This window comes from Homo sapiens, chromosome 9, assembly GCF_000001405.40.
Source record: "Homo sapiens chromosome 9, GRCh38.p14 Primary Assembly".
In the NCBI taxonomy this organism is placed as follows: Eukaryota; Metazoa; Chordata; class Mammalia; order Primates; family Hominidae; genus Homo; species Homo sapiens.
This window is the reverse complement of record NC_000009.12, coordinates 27,355,650-27,374,618: the sequence shown is the minus strand read 5'-3', so window position 1 is coordinate 27,374,618 and position 18,969 is coordinate 27,355,650. Positions and strand designations below refer to the sequence as shown.

General features: G+C 43.0%; 1 protein-coding gene across 6 annotated transcripts in view, besides 3 other annotated features; it reads left to right on the top strand.

Annotated features, from left to right (window-relative positions):
* MOB3B (MOB kinase activator 3B) overlaps nt 1-18,969 on the top strand; it is a 204,606-nt gene that overhangs the window by 155,196 nt on the left and 30,441 nt on the right. For all 6 annotated transcript variants that reach the window (NM_024761.5, XM_047423892.1, XM_047423895.1 and 3 more), the window contains one exon: nt 15,383-15,585. In NM_024761.5, the coding sequence (NP_079037.3) occupies nt 15,383-15,585 (203 nt within the window). The remainder of the gene's footprint in view (nt 1-15,382; nt 15,586-18,969) is intronic.
* Nucleotides 4,030-4,784: an enhancer, noted in NCBI's record as "OCT4-NANOG-H3K27ac hESC enhancer chr9:27369833-27370587 (GRCh37/hg19 assembly coordinates)". NCBI's record gives its function as "activates a minimal SCP1, AML or CMV promoter by ChIP-STARR-seq in primed H9 embryonic stem cells {active_cell/tissue: H9 hESC(primed)}" and the evidence as "EXISTENCE:reporter gene assay evidence [ECO:0000049][PMID:30033119]".
* Nucleotides 4,785-5,538: an enhancer, noted in NCBI's record as "OCT4-NANOG-H3K27ac hESC enhancer chr9:27369079-27369832 (GRCh37/hg19 assembly coordinates)". NCBI's record gives its function as "activates a minimal SCP1, AML or CMV promoter by ChIP-STARR-seq in primed H9 embryonic stem cells {active_cell/tissue: H9 hESC(primed)}" and the evidence as "EXISTENCE:reporter gene assay evidence [ECO:0000049][PMID:30033119]".
* Nucleotides 7,056-7,175: an enhancer, noted in NCBI's record as "active region_28253". NCBI's record gives its function as "activates an Ori minimal core promoter by ATAC-STARR-seq in GM12878 lymphoblastoid cells {active_cell/tissue: GM12878}" and the evidence as "EXISTENCE:reporter gene assay evidence [ECO:0000049][PMID:35858748]".

Here is an 18,969-nt window from a genome sequence, read left to right as displayed (position 1 = left end):
TGTGAATGTCAAGTTCTAGAGAGACCATTGCTTTAGTCACCTCTGTCCTCTCCCTCCTCTTCCCACTCCTGCCTCACCAAGACCAAATTCCAAAAGACCAGTTCTCCTCAAAAGTTGTGTTTCATAAGGACCTTAAAATTGGCTACTAGTCTAACAGTAATTTATTTCAGTTGAGGACTTTTTAAACTCCATGACTAACCATTGAGGGTACTTTCTGGATGATTAAGTTAATAATTTTAAAGGAATTGCCTTGGTTTTTGAGGGGTAGAGGGTATATTATTTGGGAAGTGGCTGTTTCAAAGTGAGTGGGATCTAGGTTTAAATCCAGCTTCACCACCTGTATCACTTAAGCAAGTGATGCAGCCTCTCTTAGTTTCTCATTATTTAAAAAAAAAAAAAAAATACTTCAGACAGATTAATGGAGTTTATTCAAGCAAAGAATTATTCATGAATTGGGCAGCCCTGAGAACCAGAACAGGTTCAAAGGGACTCCAGGGCTGCTGTTTGGTTGGATAACATTTATCAACAGAAAAAGCAAAGTACAGAAAACGGAAGTGACGTATAGAAACAGCTGGATCGGTTACAGCTGGGCATTTGCCTTATTTGAACCAGGTTTAAACAGATGTCTGTCTGTGGTTCAGCTACTGTGATTGGCTAAGACTAGGCTACTTGCTGCAAGAGTAGGATATAGCCTGTTTACTCATCAAGTTGGGTTCATTAGGTACTGACAAACCTTTAGACCAGACTTAAAGTAGAGGAGGCGGCTTTTGGCCAAATTCAATTTAACAGTATTTTTTCATCCACAAAATAGGGAAAACAACTGCAGAGTTTGTTGGTTTTTTTTGGGATAAGGATATTTACATGGCTGGTGCCATTGGATGCCCAGGAAATAAAAGTTTCTCTTCGGAGCCAATGTAATTGAGACTTTAAATTGCAAATATTATATAATAGTCACAAAAAACTTTTATGTATTTTATTTTGGAACTTAAGAAATCCTTTTTCTATAGAATTTTCATTGTAGGTAGGTAGTATTGCAGTTGAGATGGAAGAAAGTGGGAAAATAGAGAGGGTGAGGGGATGAGCCTTGTGGGTGTCTGTACCTGGGGGAGGTCCTTAGGTCAACTTCCAGTGCTGGAAACTTAGGTATAACATGACCTTATTCAATTTAACTCTTTCGCTTATTGCTGAATCCCTAGTATCTAGCACATCTGCAAACAAATAAATATTTGCTATTGTTAGCTATTAAATTAGTTAATGAACAAACAAAGGGTGTATAGTGGGAGTTGTATCTGGCAAGGATGACTCCTGACTCCACAGCTCTGTTCAGATCATATCACATGTCAGAGACAGGGCCAGCTTCACAGTCATGAAACCTGCACTCAGAATGGCCCCATGCTTGGTTTAAGACTCTGCTGTTGCCATCTTGAAGTGCTTAATAATTTCTAAACAAGGGGCTCTGCAAATTATGTAGCCAGTCCTGATCAGAGCATAACAGTAAAGACAGAAATGTTAGTGCGTAAATCAAAACGTACAAACTCATGGCCTCTGGAGCCAATCAAATATTTTTGACCCACAGAGTGTTTTTTAAATATAAATAAACTCTTAATATAAACATTTTCTTTAGAATAGTTGGTTTATTAAAAAGTTGTAAAGATAGTACAGAGTTCCCATATATCCCTCACCCAGTTTCCAGTATCGCTAACATCTCACAAAACATTTGTCACAGCTGAGGAACTAACACATGAACACTACTGTTATTAAACTCTACACAGTATTCAGTTTTTCCCTAATGCCCTTTTTCTGTTCCTGGATTCCATCCAGGATACCACATTACATTTAGTCAGCACATCTCCTTAGGCTCTTCAGACTTTCCTTGTTTTGATGAACTTGACAGTTTTGAGGACTACCAGTCAGATGTTTTGTAGAACATTCTTCAGTGTTGGTTTGTCTGATTTTTTTTATGGTTAGATAGGGCTTATGGGTTATGGGGAGGGAGACCACAGAAGTGAAGCGACTTATCGTATCAAAGCCATATTCTATGAACACGATTGATCACTGTTGATGTTAACCTTGATCACTTGGTCAAGGTCATGTTTGCCAGGTTTCTTGACTATAAAGCCACCTATACTGTACTCTTTGGAAGCAACTCACCAAGCATAGCCCACGCTCAAGAGCTTCATTCATCTCCTTGAACAGGGAGTATTTACATATTTGGAATCTCACTACACAGGAGATTTTTCTTTTCCCTATTTACTATCCAACCATTTATTTATATCAGTGTGAACTCACAGATATTTATTTTCTACTTTAGGTTATAATGCAAAACTACTCCATCTATTTTTTTGCTCAGATTGTTCCAGTTTGGGCCATTCCGGAGCTCTTTCAGGTTGGCTCCTACGCCCCTGTCATTGTGTTTTTATTAGCACTTCCTTTCTTTCTGACACTAAGGTGTCCCAGGCCATCTTTTATATTTCCTGCCTCAGTCCTAGAATCAGCCATTTTCTCCAAGGGGCCCTGATTCCTTTATTTAAAAAATGATGTTGGAAACCAAGATCCATGTGTTTCATGTGCTCAGTGCTACGAGAGTGTTTTTCTTTCCTTCTTTTTTAATTTTTAAATTTGAATTTTTAAAATTAAGCTGTCAGCTTATAGAGTCAACTTCCAGGCTGAGTGAGCTATATAAGACTAAATAATGTTAATAAATAAAACGTTTGAAAATTTTTTAGTGTCCTTGAATTAACTAAAATTTAACCACGGGGAGGTTTCATGTAAGAATCTAGATTTCTGGATTATCTTGAAAAAAAACAGAAGGTCTGGCAGTCCTAGATCTATATTCCTGCTGGCCAACAATCAGCTAAGGCTGAGAGGCTTTTTTCCTTTCCTGCATAATACACTCTCCAGGCTGGCACAGTCCACGCCACTCCCGATCATATTACACCCAGCCTACTTTACTCATTCATGTTCCTTTGTAATCCCTGAAGGCATGTGAATATGTGATATCTTGTTTAAGACATATTCAAGTAAATAATTTACTTGAATTAGTTCATGAATTTAGCTTGACTTTGACCCAGAGATAAGATTTTAGAGCCACATTTCTGGTTTCTTCCCTATCCCTTCAACTTACCTTCGCGGGATCTTACATGCAAATGCAATGACTCACCATTTCTTGCTCAGTGCTGCCTTAACCCCTCTATGTCAGGTGGAAAAAGTCCTCAGCATCCACTCACCGTCTTTCCCTCAGATTCTGTTTGTCTGGAGAAGATCCCCCAACAGTTTTATTCCTATCTCAGGTTCATTTCAGAAGGGTCACTGTTCCCTTTGGCTCTGCAAAGCCCCGCTCAAGTTGGGTTCCAATTGTTCTTTCTGGGTTCCCCCAACTGTACAAAGAGGATCAATGACATTGCTATCTTCTCCCTTGCCCCCACCTCCTCCCATTATGTGTCTCAGCATGATTTGCCAACCAAATCTGGCTTATTGCAAACTTTAATAACTCTGGAAAACTACCTGTTTGACTTTATTTAGATGAAAATAACCACATCAATGCAAATGTACAATACAATTCGAAGAGGGAGATACTTCTTCCTCGGTATCAGTAAAAATCTGATAGATGCGTTTCTCTCCGAGATCTGCAAGGTGTGAAGAGATAACTGTGTATTAATGTTCACGGTAGCGTTACTCCTTAGACGTGACTTGGTTAAACGTGGGCCTATAGCAATTCCATGGAGATCTTTCTACCAAGCAGTGGTTTTCAGATTGTGACTCAAGGGCCAGTGCTTGGAGTTGGGAAAAGTAAGGGGAACCCAAGCAGGGGAAGCTCTTCACCACTCCCGCACAACTCAGGTTTCTATGGTTATTTGTTTATTCACTGGCCTAGTCCATTCAAGCTGCTACAACAAAAATACCACAAACAGAGTGGCTTATAAACAACAAATGTTTATTTCTCACAGTTCAGGAGGCTGGGAAGTCCAAGATCAAGGCACTGACAGATTCAGTGTCTGGTGGGTTCAGTGTCTGGTGAGGCCTTGCTTCCTGTTTCACAGATGGCAGTTTTTGCTATAACTTCACATGGAGAAAGAAAAAGGACCCTCTTTTTTTCTTTTTTTTTTTTCTGAGATGGAGTTTCACTCTTGTTGCCCAGTCTGGAGTGCAATGGTACAATATTGGCTCACCGCAACCTCTGCCTTCCAAGTTCAAGTGATTCTCCTGCCTCAGCCTCCCTAGTAGCTGGGATTACAAGCATGCACCACCATGCCCGGCTAATTTTGTATTTTTAGTACAGACGGGGTTTCTCCATGTTGGTCAGGCCGGTCTTGAATTCCCGACCTCAGGTGATCTGCCCACCTTAGCCTCCCAAAGTGCTGGGATTACAGGCCTGAGCGACCGCGCCCAGCCAGGACCCTCCTTTTTAAAGGCACTAATCCCATTCATGGGGTGTCTGCCTTCATGACCTAATCACCTCCCAAAGGCCCCACCTCCTAGTACCATCAGCCTGGGAATTAGGATTTCAACACGTGCATTTGAGGGGGGCATAAGCATTCAATCCGTTGCATTCAATAATTACATATGGAGAACCACCGTGTTCTGCTATGCATTCGATGCCAGGGCTATGACTATGAACAAGAAAGATCCCTGACATTACACAATTTTCAGTCTCCTGGGAGACAAAAAAAAAAAAAAAAAAAGGACAATTAAAAGTTGATGTGGTAGTATTGTCATGGAAGAAGCAGCGGGTGTTATGATATGCCTACCTAGACTGAGGGTGAGGTGGCCAGGGAGGACGTTCTAGAGGAAGTGACAAATTAGTTAAGGTTTGAATAACAAATGGGAGTTAGTCAGGCGAAATGGAGAAGCTGAGGAAGAGGTTTCCAGCTACCAACCCTCCAGTATGTAGCAACGCCCAGAAGCAAGTGAGAAAGAGGATCGTAGCTTCAGATGGCTGGAGTATTACATGCAAGTTGGGAGAATCCAGAAATGATGGTGGACCACTGCATGTGTGAAATCATAAAGGGTCTTGCCTGCATGTTAAATAGCTTTGATTTCACCTTGGAAGCAGTAGGAGGCTGCTTTAGAGTTTTATGCAGAAAAACAGGCTTCCTGGTTAGATTTGCGTATTGGGAAGGTCCTTCACCTGCCAAGTGGAGATTGAAGAAATGCAGGAGTAAAGAAAGGAAGCTTAGTTACAAGGGACCTGCATAAACTAGGCAGGAGGTGAGCTAGGAAGGAGGCAGTGGGGCTGAAGAGAAATTTAGAGATCAGCAACTGTTCAAGACAAGACTTGGTGTTAATTGTCCCCACATAATGGAAGAAAGATTCTACTGGGGAATAAAGAATAGTTTTATTTGTGAGGATACTCACAATATTACATCCATGACAAAGAACCTGGCTTTCAAATTCTGGTTGGGGCTCATGAAAAAAACCAGAAGGTGTGGTAGTCCTAGACCTATATTCCTGATCAAACTCCTGGTACCTCAGCCTGACTTTCCAGAACCAATGAAGTTCATTAACATCCTGTTCTCAGCTCTGGCTCATTTGTCCCATTTGATTTTCAGCAAACTGGTCAGGTTTACACGGTCTAGGGTTTGTTTCTAATGGCTTTTATTGTCAATCCACAGTGAATATCTTTCACGGGTTATCTTGGGTCTTTCTTAATCTACTGCTCCTTTCACATCCATGCTGTGAAAGCAGGGGACAAAGGCAGCCATCTGGGAGCTGGGGATGCTGATGAGCAACTCAGAAGTGGCGCTCAGGGGTAGGAGGAGGTGTGACGAGCAGGCACGCTGGACTCATGGTTGCTCCTTGGGGTGGCTGAAACAGCACTTCCTATGCCCAGCACATGGCATGTCTGAAAGAATTAAGACTCTCTTGAGAACATATAATCACATACCACTGTTTGTCTTTCTTTTGGCCCAACCACCATGATAACAGACTGGAGGACAGCACAAAGGGGCTGGGGAGGGGCAGAGGGAGGGAGTTGGAAAACAGAGTAGTAGCCAGTTTATTTCTAAGCATTTGCAGCTGTCAGCTTGTTTGGGGACTTTGTTTTCTCTTTTTTTAGGCAGAGGAACAAAGTCCTGCTACACAGGATTGTTTTCCTTGGCATGACGAACAGACACTTTCTTGAGGAACGTACTGAGATAACACAAAACATCTGCTAAGAGGAATCAATCCTCGCAGCTGAATTTTCATCAGCATCAGCAAGAACACGAAGCTTCTCTCTCTCTCCCTCTCTGTATGTGTGTGTGTGTGTGTGTGTGTGTGTGTGTGTATGTATGTGTGTGTATATATATGTATATGTATGTATATATATAGACAGAGAGCAGGAGGCAGGAGAATGGATGGATGAAGGGGCAAGAGAATAAGCTAAGAGGAGGAGGATATATATTATTAAGAAACATCTGTGTTGTTCATGTGTTTTGTTTTGTTTTGTTTTGTTTTTGCCTTGTGATCCGATTGCATCTTGTTTTGCAAGTATTTTGGAAATGGTGTGTTCTCAGCCACGCTGCCAGAGGAGGTATGTTTTCTTTTTCCACGTGTGTGGGATGTTGTTTTTATTCATGAACTATTGAGAATGAGTGGTTTTTATGACTTGTAGAGGGATTTTCACATCCCTCTTATTACTGGACTCTGAAGACAGAAGGGACAGCACAAATGCCCTCAGACATGAATAACAGTTTCAAGGAGAAACATGGGCACTTCTGGTTGTTGTTGACATGCCATCAGGGGTCCCAAAGGATTGGCCAGGAAATCAGGTTTCATCATATGTCCTTTGGAAGCTCCTTGGACAGTTCACATGCTCTTCCAATATATGACATGTCTTCCAAGTATACTTTCCAAGAAGAGTTTATCCTTTGGAGAAGAGGCAGCTTCACCTGTCCTGTTTCATTTGCCCTCCTGCCACCCCTGTCTTGGCATTGATTCAGAAGAGCCGTCTTCCTAGCGTTGGTAACATCGGCTGCCATTTGCCAGATGCCTTCTGTGTGCCTGCTGGTGCTGTGCTTCTCATTTAGTCCTTGTGGTCTCATGAAGAGCTAGGTATTATTATCACCATTCCTCAGACAAGAAAACAGAGGCTTTTGGCAGTTAGCAAAGTTGCTTAAGGGCAAGCAGCACAGAAGTCCCACAGCTGGAATCATAAATGGGATTGAGGCCAGAGCCAGGCGTTTCACCAGTGTCCTAAACCCCCAGTGACACATACATTTGGGAAAGTAAAAGCCAAACTACCCTTTTCCACCTTGTCTTCTAACAAGTTTCGTTTCCCCAGCTGTGTCAATCGTATTTGCATGAGATGAAAGGAGCTGTAGAAACCCTACAAAGCTTCCTGGCAGAATAGAAGGAGCATAGGCTCTGAGACAGACTTGAATTCAGATCCCTCTTCATCACAAACTAGCTCTATAAAGCCCAAGTCTGTCCCTTCACCTCTTTGAGCTTTGATTTCAGGGTATGCAGGCGGCACAGGAGCTCAGCTCTCATTCCAACGGTCAGCAAGTATTTATTCCATACCCACCCTGCTCCAGGTGCCAGGCCACTAAGGAGACGTCACTAAGGAGACACTTGTGAGGAGGCTGGACACCGTCCCTGCTCTCACAGAGTGGCCAGTCTGGAGCAGGTAACAGACCTGAAGCAGAGACTCCCACAGATACATGTGGAATTACCATGTGTGATCTATGCAGGAAAATTTCAGGAGCAGAATAACAGATGCCAGGGAAGCTGGGTCTGCGGATGATGGGAGACACTGAGCCAAGCTCTAAAGAAAGAAGAGGCAGTAACCAGGTGCTCAATAAAGGGGCCTATCTGCCAGTTGTTTGCAGAACTTGAGGTGTTTGGGGGCAGTTCTCCAGTATCCCCAGAGACAACCTTTTGGTTCTTACTCTTCAGACCACAAAAGCCCAGGTTCAGCCCAGCACCGATCACAGATCAGAGTCTCATTCCCAGGTGTTGGCCTTTCTCTTCCAAAGAAAAGGGAAAATGATGAAAACAGGAATGATTAACAGCCAGCTCAGAACACACATCCCCACCCCCCAGTCTCCTGGACCTTCGTCAACCGAAGCATTTCTGCATATTCTAAAGGAGTTTTTCCTTTTTTGGCCTCCATAACAAGATAAAATAAGTAACACAAGCCATTTAGGCAACTTATTTTCTTTCAGAGGTGCCTGAAAAGGAAGGATTGAATGAGATGTTTGAGGGCTTAGTGGAAGGGAGGGGCAGGAGGGAAAGAGGAAGAAAGAAAAATGGGTTGAAGTGCAGAAATTACTGGAATTTTTATTAAATTTTCTTGGGGAGAAAGGAGATTTCCTAAGGCAGAGATGAAAGGCAAATCTGCATGGGGCCTCAGAGAAATTATTACGTTTCATACTCGATTTAGCTCTCACACTGAATGTGGCTTGGAGATCAGAAAGTTGTGGTTAGACACATTCATAAACTCAGCAGGGCTCTGTCAGATGCGGGTTCCTGACTGAGTACCAAGGCTTCATGAGCAACAGAGACAGGGCTACAAGGCTGTCTCATCAGGCCTTCAAGAGAGACTCCAGGCCTGCACTCTCCTTACTCTCCACCCTCACCCCAGCACCCTGGCCTGCCTCCTCCTTAGCCTAATTGCTCAGAAAACTCTAGTCTTGCTTTGAGTCTAACTGGTGAGCAGACTCCTGCTAGAAACTTGTATCAGTGATTGGTTTGGATTCTGGCCTCTGCTTAGGCATGTTGCCTCGGCGCACTCCAAAACTTGAGCTCAGCTGGCCCTGTTTCAGGCTCATTAACTCCATTTCAGTACTGGTCCGTTTGCAGAAACTAAGCTACATCACATGACCCAAGGCCATCCAGGTCCAGGGTTATCCTTGGACACCTGGATATCCATCCCCTCTCTGTGGAGCACTAGTCTGAACACTTTCTCAATGTGGGCCAACTTCTTGGAGTCTGAAATTTTCCAGCTTTTAAGCTAAGAGCCACTGGTGGTAGCTCAGGGTAGGATAGAGAGAAGGGCATGTTCTGAGTCTCAATTATTGATTGCAAATCACTTAGAGATCTTGTAATCAAAGATTGTTTTCTATATCATCAATACAGGCACATATCTAACAGTCTGGTATTATTGCTGATGGTTTGTCTGGATTATTATAAGACTAGTCAAAATCTAACTCCAAACCCTTAAGATATACAATCTATTTCAGTTAGGACTGCTGGTTAATGTTGTCTGGCATTAACTTTCTGAGTACAGTGACTGAAAATTAACTCTCACTACCTGAAAAAAAAAAAAAAAAAAAGAGAAGAAGGAAGATTTCAATGATAAAAAGAAAGTTTCAGAGTTTTTCCTTTCCACACCCTAGGCTGGATCACAGTGTTCCTCATTGCAAAGTTTTCTCTTCTCCCCAAAAGCAACATGCAGCCTTCCATGCCAGGACTATATATATCAGGAGTCTGGCAAAAAGCTATCCTTTCTGCTGTGGGTTTTCTTTTTTTTTTTTTGCCTCCCCCAAACAGGAGATGATGGATTCACATCTTGACTAAATAAGACCACTGCTCTTTTCTGATTCAATTTTGATCGATGAAGTATTCCCTGCCTTGCCTGTGCCAGGTGCTTTCAAAGGTGGAATCAAAGTATAACACAGTCCCTTTGTTCAGAGAACTTACAGCAATATAAGACATAAGTTTGAGAAACTAGTAGAAAATAATGCAAGGTAGATTATACTCCAGGGCTTATTTAGTACCTGCCACTGTAAGTTTTTTGCAAGTCCAGAATTGATGTATTAATGCCAAGACTGCTATCATGAAAATAAATAGCCAGGAATTTAATCCCAAAGTTTGTCACAAAGACCATTTGGTCAATGGGATACTAAAACTAACAATTCACAATAGAATACTGCAAGGCAGTAAGCTAAACCTTTTAGATGTTTATGTAATTAATCTGCACAACACCCTAAGCTACAAATAACATTAATATATCCCCATTTTTCTTTAAGGGATATATTCTTTAAGGGGAAAGTGAGGCTTGGAGACACTACATCATCTGCATATGGCTACATTGTGAATAAGTGGTAAAGGTAGAAATAAAGCCTAGGAGTTCTGGTTACAGACTCTGTGTTTTAAATCAATAGCTATTATAAGCAAAGGGGAATCCAGATTTAAATAGGATTTTTTGCTACAGATATTCTCAGATCCTTTACTATGCTTGGGTACGTTGTAAACCTCTATGAAAACAGCATTTTTGCCAATATATTTGGTCTCAGAATCCTCTCTTTTTAGCCAAGGATCTCTCAAGAATAGTGATTTTTAAAACACATAATGGGGAATACTGAAGTGGAGGGTCTATCGTGTCTTATGTACTCATGAGGCAGAAGGAGGGCATTGGTTATGGTCCTGATGTTGGGTCACTTGTGCCATGTAGAACACGGGTTGCCCTTTGCTCAGACCCAGCCATGCACAGCTCCCCAGGTCCAGGATGCCATTGTAGCTAGCCAAGTGTCCGTTCGAGGTGATCCAGTTGCCTTTCTTCTTCCAATTGCTGAGCTGGATTCTTTTAAAACAAACATTTTTTGAGCTCCTTCCACAAGCAAGCTAAGTGCAGGTCATAAAATGGTGTTTTTGGCTGGACAAGATAGCTCACACGTGTAATCCCAGCATGTTGAGAGGCTGAGGTGGGAGGATCGCTTGAGCCCAGGAGCTTGAGACCAGGCTGGGCAACATAGTGGGACCTTGTCTCCACAAAAACATTTACAAAAGTTAGCCAGGCATGGTGGCGCATGCCTGTATTCTCAGCTACTTGGAAGGCTGAGGCAGGAGGATTGCTTGGGCCCAGGAGGCTGAGGCTGCAGTGAGCTGTGATTGTGACACTGCACTCCAGCCTGGGTGACAGAGTAAAACCCTGTCCTTAAACAATGAATAAATTAAAATAAAATGGTATTCTTGTCCCTCACCTTCCCTGACACCATAGAACCTATAGGATGCTGAAGAAAGAGCCTGAGTTTTGAAGCCAAATCTCTATCTCCTTTTACCCTTGTGGCCTGGGGCAAATGATTTAACTGAGCTAAGCCTCAGTTTCCATTTAAAAAAAAAAAAAACTGAGCCGGGCGTGGTGGATCACGCCTATAATCCCAGCACTTTGGGAGGCTGAGGTGGGCAGATCACGAGGTCAGGAGATCGAGACCATCCTGGCTAACACAGTGAAACCCCGTCTCTACTAAAAATACAAAAAATTAGCCGGGCGTGGCGGCGGGCGCCTGTAGTCCCAGCTACTTGGGAGGCTGAGGCAGGAGAATGGCATGAACCTGGGAGGCGGAGCTTGCAGTGAGCCACGATCCTGCCACTGTACTGGGCGAAAGTGCGAGACTCCATCTCAAAAAAACACAAAAACAAACAAACAAAAAAACGAAAAACCTGAAATAATAATTCCACTACTCAGGGTGTCACTGGAATTAAATGACATTGCACATACACAGATCAGCCCTCATTTGGAATTCCCTTTTCTTTTAGTTATGTAATGGAGATTGGATACTTCTTTGCAGCACCATGAAGAAAGAAAACCACCTCAAATCAATCAGTTTTCATGAACTGGCTCTCTGGAGCCTGCCAGGAAAGGGAGTGGGTCAGCAAGCTGTATCTTGTTCTATCTTGCTGCCATGAGGTTAGTTACATAGAATGAGAAAGTTCCAGAGTCTGCAGAAGGGGTGGACATCCGAGGTCTCGCCATCTGAAGGGATAACCTCTTCCAAGTCCCACCTTCTGAGGTTTATTTAAAACACACACACAAATCTGGACGTCTGTAAGGCAGAAGGGAAAAGGGTGAAAATAGTATGCAAACTGTAGAATTGGCCTCTGAACCATCAATAAATATAAGAATTTTTCAAATGCATGTAGCTTTCCTGTTCTTTTCCCACTCTCTGTGAGCTGGATTTTGTCTTTGACTCAGCAGAGAACCCAGTGGGGTTTCCTAGGCTCCTGAGGGCTCCCAACCTCTTTGCAGTGTCTGGAGTTGGCCTGGGGTGACTGCAGTGCATGCTGAACATGTCTCAACTTGAACCGTTTGCAGCTTTTGCTTTTGAAGAATGAATTACATGGGAGGGAGGGAATGGTGGAAGAGTGGGGCCTGACTTAGCAGCCAGAGCCAAGAGATTCTGAGCCTGGAGTCCTACCTACCCGAGGAGTTCAGGTGGGAAATAATGAAAGTTGAACTTACTCCCAAAGTTCCATTGAGTGCCAAGCACAGTACAGATACTAATAAAAACACTACAAAGTAAATTTGTGTATTAGTTTTATAATAAAGTTGAGTGATGAAGACTCGACTGGATTTTAAACTAAAGACCTAGTTTAAAATCCTAGCCCTACTGCTTACTAGCTACATAGGCTACATAAGCTGTAGCTAGTAAGAAGTCAGGTTAGTATTTTAAACTAGGTCTTCCAGATTGCAAAACCAACTACTCTAAAGCCATAGCCCAAAATGGATAGGCAAGAGGCAAACCCCCTTCAAGGCCAGAGACAAGTCAGAGACCAGGTATGGAATGGAAGGCACAGCTGAGATTTCTGAGCTGAGCAGTGGCAGAGATGGGGGGAACAGAGCCGCTTGGAGACAGTCTAAAAGGGGCCAGCAATTGCCATGAGCATCCGCAGTGTGTCCAAAACTTTGCCTTATCTGTAGCCAGTGTGGAGGGTAGGGGGGCTGGCTATAAGGGCCACACAGATAAACTGGCACAGCTGAAAGTCCCTGTGTCCCCCAGCATCTGGTGAGCTTCCATGAGACTGGAACCAGGGGAGGAGAAGTGGGAGCACACTTGAGGGAGTTTGAGCTGCCCAGAAAGGAAGGGCTTCAGAGCTAAAAGTGTGTGCAGAGCCCGTGAGCAGTGCTCGTGGACTTTGGAGTCAGACTAACTGGCTAAATCTCTCCTCTACTATTTCCCCGCTGGGTGACCTTGGGCAGCTACTTAATTGTCCCAAATCTATTTCTTTATCTGTGAGATGGAAGTAATTTAAGGCCTGTTCTGAGGGCTCAGTTAGCTAATCTATAGATAGGGCTTGGCACAGTTCCTAGAACATAGTAAGAGCTCAGTAAATACTACTTTTTACTGTTAATCCCAGGTCTGTGGTCTTAAGGCCTGGGCAGAGAAAGCTAACATACTCTCGTTGAAGGCAGCAGAGTATGTTAGCTGACCTCTTCTTGCCTCTGGTTGTGGCTTCTGATGCTGTGGACATTTTTCTGTCCTTCTCCTTCTTCTGTCCCCATCCCCTTTCTTTTGCTTATTTATGTCTCTGTGCCACTGAAGAGTAACTTTTAGATGCCTCACTGTGCTTGACAATCGAGTGGTTCCTCTAACCTGGGAAGAGAGAGCGTTGTACTCTGTAATACTCATTTTTTGGATTTTAGAGTCAGGCGGACTTGGTTCAAATCCCAGCCCTACCACTTTTTAGCAACAGAATTCATGCTGAAGAGCTTCAGTGCTATTTATCTATGAAACATTAATAGGAATAATAAAACCTATTCCACAGATACATTGTGAAGACAACATATGTCGACCTCCTGGCATTGTCACCAGGTGGGTTACAGGACTCCCCATGTGAAGGAAACATACCTATCTTAGAGGGAATTTCATCACTTCTGGGACTCAGGCTTCAAAGACTCCAGACCCGCCCCCAGTGTGGCAACAGCAGTTCTGCAGGCCCCTCTCCACTGAGAAAGCAGCCCATAAACTCTGCATGTGGCTGCCCTCCACCTTCTCCTTGGCTCTACCGCACCCTCAACCCCAAATCCCAGCATCTGTTGCCCAGGCAGTCAGCTCCCAAGCAGTGCCAGAACTTCTCCCTGGGTTCATTTGATATGTTGCCACTTTGTTTCAAAGAAAAGCCATTATCAGTGTTGGGACCCAAGGGAAGCAGATCTTGTCACTGCCGCCTGCCAGACATGTTCCTTCTCATCCTGCCCTGGGGTCCCAGGTGATCCCATTACAGTGTCTCACCAGACAGCTGCTGCTAGGTTTCTGTGGAGGGAAGGACAGCAAAACTCCAGGCTTCCTGGGGACTTGGGGCATGTGCCGTGCATAGTTCTACAATTTTGCTGAAAGGCTAGTGGTCATTTCTACCTTTCTTTGACAAGGGTAATTCTTTTGTTGTTGTTGGTTTTGTTTGTTTGTTTGTTTGAGACGGAGTCTCACTCTGTCGCCAAGGCTGGAGTGCAGTGGCGCAATCTTGGCTCACTGCAACCTCCACCTCCCAGGTTCAAGCAATTCCCCTGGCTCAGCCTCCTGAGTAGCTGGGATTACAGGCGCACGCCACATGCCCGGCTAATTTTTTTGTATTTTTAGTAGAGATAGTGTTTCACCATGTTGGCCAGACTGGTCTCAAACTCCTGACCTCAGGCAATCTGCCTGCCTCAGCCTCCCAAAGTGCTGGAATTACAGGTGTGAGCCACCGCATCTGGCCGGGTAATTCTTTTCCTTATAACAACAGACCTTACCTTGTAGAGAAAAGGGAGGACATTATCAATTTAATAAGCTTTCACTATGTTCTAGGCGCTGTAGGAGGATCTTACATTAATACCTTCCCAGCCATTTAAGGAAGACCTTATTATGACCGCTCTTTTACAGATGAGAAACCAAAAGTCAAACAACTTGCCCACAGTCATACAGCTGGAAGGGGAGCAGAGTAAGAATTCAAACAATGTCTGTTTAGCTTAGGAACCCATTACAACATGTCACCACTTAAGGACAGTGCAAATAACAAAACAGCTTAAGCAGTGTTTGAGATGGAGAAAGGACGTGGGCTTGCGATCCTGCAATTTGTTGCTTTACTGAGCTGGGAGTAGTGGTCATCAGACGGGAAATCTGAGTGACTTCGATGACCACTCACCCTTTCTGTGTTATGAAAAACAAGACCTCCTCCCAACTCTTACCTTCCTCAAAGAGACGAAGGGGGAATCTGTGATGCAAAGTATCTGTGAAAGTTATTGAATTTGCCCACCTCAGAAACAGTATACCTCAGGAAAAGCTTTGCAGACTGGTAGCTTGCAGGCCCAGTGTAACTTATAGAGATGTTTTATTTTGACTCATGGTACTTTTTAAAACTTCAAGTTAATTGCTAATGTTTAAAAAATGCAGCAGGTCCAAGTATAACTCTAAATTTCTGAATTATCTTGAAAAATTAGAAGCTCTAACAACACTGGGCCTCCATCCCTATATGGCCACTGTTGGCTGTAGTCGCAGCAACTGCTCCCTTTGATGGGGAGGTGGAAGGTGCTTTCTAGTTTGCTACCAACCCCCCCCCCCCACACACACACACTCCCTATGACTCCTGTGACGGGTGCCAGTCTCCCTGTAGCATTGCCCTCAGACAGTTTTCATATTAGAGGAAAGAGGAAAAGGATCTATCCCATCATGGTTTCATTCTTTCTTCTTTTTTTCTTCTCTAGGTGTTCCCTTCCCAAAGAACTTCCTTCAGATCTGCAAGAAGATCCTGTGCCGCCTTTTCCGGGTCTTTGTCCACGTCTATATCCACCACTTCGACCGGGTCATTGTGATGGGTGCAGAGGCCCATGTCAACACCTGCTACAAACACTTCTATTACTTTGTCACAGAGATGAACCTCATAGACCGCAAGGAGCTAGAGCCTTTGGTAAGTGACACCATGAAATAATGGTATCCAAGTCACCCCAGGAGCTCGGCCATTTGTCAGAGCGCATTGTCAATCCCTGGAAAATGCTCATTGATGGCTAGCTGTTAGCCTGAGGGCTGCAGAATTGAATGGGGTTTAGTGGTCAACTAACAGCCAGGAGATGCCAAGATGTCCACTGTCACCAAATAAGTGTCCGAGATTACCCTCCAAGAGGTGGCAGAATGTTGTGGGAATATAATAGTTTGGATCAGAGGGAGTAGCTTTAACTTTCAATTCCAAAGTCATTCTTCCACTTATTGAATTCCTTAAATGGGCATCTTTGATATTTTATATTATCTCTCACTCTGTTAATCAAAGATTATCAGAAACATTTCTTCAGTCAGTAAATAAATATTTAGCACCTACTGTGTGCCAGCTGCTAGGGATACAGTCAGGTAAAACTGCCTTTGGGCAGCTTTTACTCCAGAGGTAGTGACAGAAGTTAAGCCCTAAATAAGGATACAGTCTCATAGGGACTTTGCTTTTCACATTGAGTTTTCCATGATGCAGCTTCAATGGGATATATTAGAATAGAGAACATTTGATATGATTAAATCCTTAGTGTTATTGTTTAGGTGAATGGGGACTACTTTTATTTTCTTCAAAAGCTCTCTTTCCAGTGGCACTCAATCTGTGCTTCAGAAGTCAAGGACCCCTAAAAACCTCATCACCTTTTGTAACATGCAACATCTCAATGTGGACACTTTGATCAAAGCTTTTTATAGTGGCTCTGTTGAGTACTATATTATACCCCATATAATACAAGGTGACTGTTTTGCTAAATATAACTGACAGAGCAACTACATTTCATCCAAGTTCATTTGAATGACCAGAGTACTAGGGCCAGGCTGTCCTCTTTTGCCACCCTTTATCCCTTTCTCTTTATGTACCTATTTTAAAACACAGGTTTTATTATTTTTATTTTTTCTTTGAGACAGGGTCTCACTCTGTCTCCCAGTCTGGAGTGCAATGGCAAGATCATAGCTAACCATAGCTCACCTTCAACTCCTAGGTTCAAGCACTCCTCCCACCTCAGCCTCCCAAGTAGCTGGGACTATAGCCTGGCATGGCTATTTTTTTTTTTTTTTTTTTTTTTTTTTTTTTTTGTAGCGATGGGATCTCATTATGTTGACTAGGCTTGTCTCAAACTGCTGGCTTCAAGCAATTCTCCACCCTTGTTCTCCCAAAGTGCTGGGATTACAGGTGTGAGCCACCATGCCTGGCCAGGTTTTATTATTATTTAGGTATGGTAAAGCTAACAGATCAGATGATTGTCATTGAAAAGAGAATTTGTTATACTCATCCCAAGAGAAAGAGCCATGCCACGCCACAAGAGAGCACATGGGAAAGCCCCAGGTTAGTCCGGAGACTGAGGGAGCAGAGAAAGCTTGAGCAAGAACCTTCACCATGGTTTTCATGGGAAGGAAAGGGCCAGACAGGGTAAGCAGGTTTAGGGTTGGCTAATTTGAATAATCTCTGGAGCCTAGGGGTTATTCCTAGTTATCTGATACCTTGGCCTGGGGTGGTTAGTGTGAGACCCTGATGGAGGAGGTATTTGGGGTGCAGGCTCTGCAGGATTGGTTTGTATTGGTTGTTGTGTAAACAGCTTGAGCGCAAATTGTTTACCATCACTAGGAATTGGCTAGCTCTGGGAGGGGCAGTCCCTCCAGGATCAACAAGGCCCCTTTGATGTTAGAGAATCGAAACACAAAAAATAAAAGATATGTTTAATACAGTACAGTACCTGTACCTGGCAAAGAAGATGGTGAATTTCACATATCACCTTTAGTGTTTTTCACCTTGAAATTTATTATTCTGCTGTGAGAATATATGGCAAAAAAAAAAACACATATATATATATATATATATATATTTGCATTACTCAGTAGTCCTGGAACAAAGCAAGACTTTTTGGGTTACACTTGAGATGGCTCACATCTTTACTTTAAAAAGAGCCTATTTTCTTCATTTTCTTTCACAAGAGATTTCTAGAAGGCTCTCAGGGGCAGGAACCGAGTTGTCTCTGAATGCAGTTGGACAAATAGTATGGAAAGAATTCATCGATGGCTGAGTTTTATAAAGGCTGTTTTGGGTAAACAGCCACTATGGGAAGATAAGGTTGTGCAAACAGCTCAAGGGAGTTAAGACTAGAAACAATTGATAAAGTTAATTTCAGAAAATGTCAAGGACAGAGAGGAAAGATGGACAAGGGCCACGTAAATGAAGACCCAGAAGAAACCACTGCAATCTCCTGGATGGTTTCAGTTCAGTTCTCTTCTATAGTCATGTTCAGGTCAATGGAAAATAACTTCTCCAAAGGCCCACAAGAAGGAAGAGGCTGTGGAAGCACTCACACTTTTGGTTTCACAGAGCTAAGGGATCAGAAACACCACGACAGAGCTGAAAGTCAATTTCTCCTTTATGCCTGAAAGCATAAAGACAACATTGTAGGAAAAAGCTGAGTGTAAGTTATCAAGTAGAGAAAGGCTTTCTTTGCTATCAGAAAACTCAGTTATTTTCTATAATTGAAGAAAGGGCTCCAAGGCAGTGCCAGGAACTAACTTGAAGTCTCAGAGTCACAGAATGGCCTCAAACATGTCAATATCCTAGACAAGGGCCTCTTTGGGGGCCTGGGAGAAAATTAGGTTAACCAGACATTTTTAACAGTTTAATTGAGCAAGAAAGGTACCAGGTTTTTTTCCCCAGAAGTTTATATTTCTTTAAATCTTGCTTGCAATAGTATACTTCCTACATTTATGTGTTAATTATAATTATAGGGAAATTCATTTTAATGCTTGTAAATATTCATACTTTTTAAATGCTTAATTGTCTGAACATATATATTTGTTTTACACTAACCAAACCCTATAAAGGAACAGAAATAGATATTAAGAATGTTTCTGAGGCGAATCATATAATATCAGGCTCTGGATACTTAGCACATGCAGTGTCCATTAAGAGTAGATTGTTTATGGCTTGTGGATTGCTATTGCCGAAATGACCATTTCAACAGTTGACAGTGCTAGGATGCCTAACTGCTAATACTGTTGCAATGCACCTATTCAAATCAGGCATAACATGTCAAGTCAACACATTTTTATTTGATTTGCATATATTGATACTCTATATATACAACTCAAGTTGCTCAGATATTCTATGTGCATAAAAAATCTATGCTCTCGAGGCAGGCAGATCACGAGGTCAGGAGATCGAGACCATCCTGGCTAACACGGTGAAACCCCGTCTCTACGAAAAATACAAAAAAAAATTAGCCAGGCACGGTGGCGGGTGCCTGTAGTCCCAGCCACTCGGGAGGCTGAGGCAGGAGAATGGCGTGAACCCGGG